Genomic DNA, 7,173 nt, shown 5'->3' with positions numbered 1-7,173 from the left:
CAGGGAGCAGGTAAACATACCTGTTCCAAATGGGTGAATTTGGCCAAAACAAAGAGGCTACAGGCCCCAAGTCCAAAATCCAGCAGGCCTGTCAAATCTTAAAGCTCCAAAGTGAACTCCTTTGACTCCATGTCTCACATCCAGGTCACACTTATGCAAGAGGTGGGCTCCCATGGCCTTGGGCAGCTCCACCCCTGTGGCTTTGCAGGAAATAGCCCCCCTCTTGGTTGCTTTCATGGACTGGCATTGTCTGTAGCCTTCCTGTGTGCATGATCAAGCTTTTGGTGGCTGTACCATTCTGGGGTCCGGAGGACAGTGGTCTTCTTCTCACAGCTCCAGTAGGCAGTACCTCAGTGGGGACTCTGTGTGGGGGCTTCAACCCCATATTTCCCTTCTGCACTGTCCTAGCAGAGGTTTTCCATTAGGGCACCACCCTTGCAGCAAAATTCTTTCTGGACATCTAGGAGTTTCCATACATCCTCTGAAATCTAGGCAGAGATTCCCAAACCTCAATTCTTGACTTCTGTGCACCCACAGGCGCAACACCATGTGAAACTGCCAAGGTTTGGGGCTTGCACCACCTGAATCCACAGTCCAAGCTGTACCTTGGACCCTTTTAGCCATGGCTAGAGTAGCTGGGATGCAGGGCATCAAGTCACTAGGTGGCAAACAGCAGGGGGCCCCTGAATCCAGCCCAGGAAACCATTTTTTCCTTTTAGGCCTCTTGGCCTGTAATGGGAGGGACTGCTGCAAAGGTCTCTGACATGTCCTGGAGATATTTTCCCCATTGTCTTGGTGATGAACATTTGGGTCCTTGTTGCTTATGCAAATTTCTGCAGCTGGCTTGAATTTCTCCTCAGAAAATTGGTTTTTCTTTTCTATCACATCGTTTGGCTGCAAATTTTCCAAAGTTTTATGCTGTTTCCTTTTAAAACTGAATGCTTTTAACAGCACCCAAGTCACCTCTTGAGTGCTTTGCTGCTTAGAAACTTATTCTGCCAGCTACCCTAAATCATCTCCCTCAAGTTCAAAGTTCCACACATCTCCAGGGCAGGGGCAAAATGCTGCCAGTCTCTTTGCTAAAGCATAGCAAGATTTTCCTTGACTCCAGTTCCCAACAAGTTCCTCATCACTATCTGAGACAACCTCAGCCTGAATTTCATTGTCCATATCATTATTAGCATTTTGGTCAAAGCTAGTCAACAAATCTCTAGGGAGTTCCAAACTTTTTCACATTTTTCTGTCTTTTTCTGAGCCCTCCAAACTGTTCCAACCCCTGCCTGTTACCCAGTTCCGAAGTTGGTTCCACATTTTTGGATAACTTTACAGCAGCACCCCACTCTACCAGTACCAATTTACTGTATTCATCTGTTTGCATGCTGCTGATAAAGGCATACCAAAGACTGTGTGATTTATAAAGAAAAAGAGGTTTAATGGACTCACAGCTCCATGAGGCTGGGGAGGCCTTACTTATGGTGGGAGGCTAAAGGCACATATTACACAGCAGCAGGCAAGACAGAATGAAAGCCAAGTGAAAAAGGAAATCCCTTATAAAACAATCGGATCTTGTGAGGCTTATTTACTACCACAAAAACAGTATGGGGAAAACCGCTCCCATGATTCAACTATCTCCTACTGGGTCCCTCCCATAACACATGGGAATTATGGGAGCTACAATTCAACATGCGATTTGGGTGGGGACGCAGCCAAAGCATATCAGACCTGAAGAGATACATTTCTAAAGGACATACGATTGACAATAGGTATATATTAAGAAAAAGATGTTTGCCATCACTAATCATCAGGAAAATGCACAATGAGATATCACCTCACATCTATTAGGATGGCTTTTATAACAGTAAAAAGGTAACAAATGTTGCTGAGGATATTGAGAAACAGAAACCCTTGTGCTTAGTTGATAGTTGATGGGAATGTAAATTGGTACAGCCATTACAGACAACAGTATGGAGTTTCCTCAAAAAATTAAAAATGGAACTCCCATATAATCCAGCAATCTCACATCTGGGTATATATCCAAAGTAAAGAAAATCACTATCTCAGAGAGATATATATACTTACATGTTTATTACAGTGTTATTTACACAGCCAAGGTATGGAAACTACCTGTGTCCATTGACAGATGAATGGATGTTTTAAATGTATTACACACACACACACACACAGACACACACACATATGTAATGGAATATCATTTAGCCTTTAGAAATGAGGAAATACTGCCATTTGTAACGAGATGGATAAACCTGGAGTTTATTATGGTAAGTAAAATAAGCCAGGAACAGATGCAAAAAAATCCTGCATGATTTCACTTATATGCATACTAAGAAAATGTCAAACTCATGGTAACAGAGTAAAATAGTGCTTACTAGGGCCTGGGAGTTGGGGGAAAAGAAAAAATGTTTGTCAGAAAGTACAAACTTTCAGTTATAAGATGAATAAGTTCTGCACATCTAATGTACAGCATAGTGACTAAAGTCAATAATAATGTATACTTGAAATTTGCTGAAAGAGTAGATCTCAAGTGTTCTCCACCACACAAACACAAATAAAAAGGTAACCAGGTGAGGTGATGAATATGTTAGCTTGATTGTGGTAATCATCACTTCACAATGTATATGTATATCAAAATATCACACTGCATACCTTAACTATATACAATTTTTCTTTGTTAATCAATAAAACTGGCAAAAATATCTTTTACATGTTGCCTTGACTCCATTTCTTATTTTGTCAAAATAGATAGTCCTCACTGTTTGCATAAGTTTAGAAACTTGTGCTACATCCAGAAGTCAGGAGTGCGGTAGGGTGAACTAAGTTACTGATTCTTTAGGAACCTTAGGGTGTGAGGTGGGACTGGAGTTCAAGGTCTAGGAGCTCAGTCTGGTCTTGAGCAGCTTCTTTTTTATTTTGTTTTGTTTTGCTTTGAGACTGGGTCTCACATTCTTTCCCAGGCTGGAGTGCAGTGGCAAAATCTGGGCTCTCTGTAACCTCCGTCTCCCGGGCTCAAGCAATCCTCTCACCTCAGCCTCCCATGTAACGGGAACCACAGGCATGTGCCACTATGGCTAGCGAATTTTTTTGTATTTTTGGTAGAGATGGGGTTTCCCTTGCTGCCCAGGCTGGTCCTGAACTCCTGAGCTCAGGTGATCCACCCACCTTGGCCTCCCATAGTGCTGGGATTACAGGTATGAGCCACCATGCCTGGCCATGAGCAGCCTCTTCTGATATCCCTAGTGTGTTCTGTACACATTTTCTTTGTCTGAATGCGCCTTTCCTTTCTCTCTATTGGTCTACAGATTTTTTCCTTCTTTAGGATATTATTAACTTGAATTCAAATTTTTATCAAAAATTGGACCTAGCTCTTTTTATTCATATTTTCCTGCTATATTTTTTACACTAATTTATTTTCGATAGGTTTTATTGAGTGTTTTTTTGACACTTAAAAATTTTACCTCACAATCTTAACCTTTGATTTATGTAATTATTGTTCCATTATGAGTTATTTCTGTCATCTCATTTTATGATTTTTCATACTTTCTTTACTGTTTATTTTTTCCTATTGTACCTTTCACTCTATAGATCAAATCTTTTTCTATTTGTTTGAAATCTGGAAATTTTTAACATTGTAATGGTGGTTATATCATTATTTATGTTAATTTTCTCAATTTCTGATATGTGTCAAAATTAATATCATCTCAGCAAACAAGATAAGTGCTCTAGCCTCCTCTTGCCACCTCTGGTTTGCTTTCTCTGTTACGACAGCACTTTGTCTAAGGGGGTGCTTTCTGAAGTTTACTTGGGGTTGTTTTCAATATGTTATGTTTTCATTTATTTTTTAGAGTATGATAAACACCACTACCATTGATTCTGGAACCCTCAATTCTAACACCACGGTGTATTTCTCTTCTTAGTGGAGTATGACCTCTAAGCATTTTCAAAGGGATTTATTTGAAATAAAACTTTTGAGGCCTTACTTTTTAATGTCTTTTTCTGGGCTTTCATATTTAAAAGATTGTGGCTGCAAATAATTCAAGGATTAAAATTGGTTTCCTTTTAATCCTTGAAAAATATTACTTCATTTTATTCTTGTCTCCAGCATTGCTGTTGGAAAGGCTGACACCAATCAAAACCAATTTTTCCCTAAAGGATGATCTGTCTTCTCATCATTTTGACAGGATGTAACAAAACAAAGGAGTCTTCAATGTTCTGAGTATAAATCATTTTGCAATTATAAACTTAACTTAATATTAATGCAATACAAAAAGAATTAAAACCTTCTTGAGACATGCAAGTGCACAGGAAAATTAAGTATCATGCACTCATTCAGGAAGAAAAGGTGCAAAAGAAATTTAATGAAAGAGATGGTCGTTAGATGCAAGTGTGGCTGAATGTAGGGATGCGATGCTGACACGTGGCAGCAGGCCTGGCAAGCTGTCTATCCCAATTCAACTACTTCAGAAAGAGAAGAATATTAACTAGGCTATCTTGGTGATGTGCTGAAAAAAGTGCTGTGTTTCCTTTTTAATCATTCAAAACAAAGGTAGTAAAATTCCCGGGAAATAAGAAATAATGCATCATAAATGTATAAAAGTTGAGGAAAATACTATATTTTTATGAATTTAAAATGCCATCTCATTTAGATTGTTATGTCTTTTCAGAAGTGCTTTAAAATTGATGGCACATAGTAAAAAATGGCATAAATTCCAACAATTAATGGAAAAACATTAATCCATCTTCTTGAGTCTTGGAACCAGGATTCTTTTGGGAGGCTTCGGTGTATCTGTGTATCATTTCATTGCCTTCACACAAATCAAATCACGCCACCTGCGACTGTGGTTTGAAAAAAAAAGAAAACATAATAATGATGCTGTCAATTCACTTGAGATTCCATGATCAAAATTAACCTACGAACAAAGCACAGACTTTATTATAATTACAAAATAGGATGTAATTTACATAAAATGTGAAAATATAAGCATAGAACGAAATTTGATACAAGTCGAAAGCTATGACAGGGACTGTTGGAGGGGAGGGAAGTTGTACACTAATCTCCACATCCTACTGAGCCAATCAGTGGTGTTCAAATTGGATGGACCATATATTATCTAAACAGTATATTATTTAAGCAAAGAATTAAGCACTGTAAGTATATTATTTAGAGAAAGCAAATTTTTAAAAAATCCCATAAAATTATATATTAAAGACTAAATTGGAAATATAGTTTTAGAAGAAGAAAGTAGGGTAAATGAGCTATATTCTCTACCGTTCATAAAAAGTCAAGGGATATTACTTAAAATTGTTAAAACAAAATTAGGTGATTGTATAATATTATTTACAGTTCAAGAGAATAGCATATAGTAAAAAAAGAAAATGATAAACCTTGCCTAACTCTGAAAAACAGGACCAAGGTCTATGGAAGGAAAAAAAAAAGTTTCTGGTTTTCACTGGTTTTTTGCCCATCAAACTGTTTGAATGATTTTCAATGCACATGTGTTGGTTTAATTTTAAAATGTTCTTACTTACAGATCCCCTTGAATTACGTGTAAAATTAGGTTTCCTTTAGTCAATGGTGTATGAAAAGTAATCAACTCATCTAATTGAAGTTAGACATTAATAAATAATAAATTGGGGAGAACATAAATATACTCATTAAAAACAACCAGAACATAGCACTTGGCTCTATGTTCTGCTTATCTAGGAAGTGGAATTCTTAAAATTAAAACAAAATAATAAGGAGCTTCACATTTTCTTTTTCTTCTTTTTTTTTTTTTTTTTTTTGAGATGGAGTCTTGCTCTGTTGCCCAGGCTGGAGTGCAGTGGCACGATCTTGGCTCACTGCAACCTTCACCTCCCGGGTTCAAGCGATTCTCCTGCCTCAGCCTCCCGAGTAGCTGGGACTACATGTGCGCATCACCACGCCCAGCTAATTTTTGTATTTTTAGTAGAGACGGGGTTTCACCAGATTGGACAGGATGGTCTCGATCTCTTGACCTTGTGATCCACCTGCCTCGGCCTCCCAACGAGCTGGGATTACAGGCATGAGCCACTGCACTTGGTTGGAGTTTCACATTTTCTGAAAAATGTTAGAAATAAAAATGTAAGTGTTTCACTTAGATAAAGCTCTCATAATCACTGGTAGACTAAAGTCAATTTAGATTACCATTTATATTTTCAAATTTATAATATGACCAATATTGCCATCAAAATGTTCAGGCACAGAATGGTTTAAAGTAGCTGTCTTATTATTTCTCAATATTCTCTTTTCTTCTATGATTGGCATCACCAATCATGGTTGGAGCATCTTTTTTTTATTTTATTTTTTATTTTATTTTATTTATTTATTTTGAGACGGAGTCTCACTGTATTGCCCAGGCTGGAGTGCAGTGGCGTGATCTCGGCTGACTGCAAGCTCCACCTCCCAGGTTCTCACCATTCTCCTGCCTCAGCCTCCCGAATAGCTGGCACTACATGTGCACACCACCATGCCCAGCTAATTGTTTGTATTTTTTAGTAGAGACAGAATTTCACCGTGTTAGCCAGGATAGTCTCAATCTCCTGACTTCGTGATCTGCCCGCCTCAGCCTCCCAAAGTGCTGGGATTACAGGCTTGAGCCACCGCACCCAGCCATGGTTGGAGCATCTTACCAAGGAACTATACTTGTAGTTTTTGAGTGGAAACAAGGGAGAAATTTTATTCATGCCTTGACCTAATTAATAATGCGTAACTAGATTCTGATGGCCGTTATCAATAGAACTGTCATCAGATTCAAAGAGCACTGGGCCGGGTGCGGTGGCTCACGCCTGTAATCCCAGCACTTTGGGAGGCCGAGGCGGGTGAATCATGAGGTCAGGAGATCGAGACCATCCTGTCTAACAAGGTGAAACCCCGTCTCTACTAAAAATACAAAAAATTAGCCGGGCGCGGTGGCGGGCGCCTGTAGTCCCAGCTACTCGGGAGGCTGAGGCAGGAGAATGGCGTGAACCCGGGAAGGGGAGCTTGCAGTGAGCCGAGATTGCGCCACTGCAGTCCGCAGTCTGGCCTGGGCGACAGAGCGAGACTCCGTCTCAAAAAAAAAAAAAAAAAAAAAAAAAAAAAAAAGATTCAAAGAGCACTGTTTGTCTCCTCTAATATGGAGAAATGCCACAAATAAG

The 7,173-nt window shown here is 39.1% G+C and overlaps 1 long non-coding RNA gene across 1 annotated transcript; it reads right to left on the bottom strand.

Moving 5' to 3' along the window:
• Positions 1-4,606: 4,606 nt before the first annotated feature.
• Positions 4,607-6,020, bottom strand: LOC105379249 (uncharacterized). The gene is made up of 2 exons (XR_948988.1): positions 5,981-6,020; positions 4,607-4,851 (listed from the first exon to the last, which is right to left on the bottom strand). It is a non-coding gene; the product is annotated as an uncharacterized LOC105379249 (long non-coding RNA).
• Between the last annotated feature and the right edge of the window lie 1,153 nt (positions 6,021-7,173).

Source organism: Homo sapiens, chromosome 9 (assembly GCF_000001405.40).
Source record: "Homo sapiens chromosome 9, GRCh38.p14 Primary Assembly".
NCBI classification, from domain to species: Eukaryota; Metazoa; Chordata; class Mammalia; order Primates; family Hominidae; genus Homo; species Homo sapiens.
The sequence above is the reverse complement of the archived record's forward strand: the minus strand, read 5'-3'. Positions and strand labels throughout refer to the sequence as shown.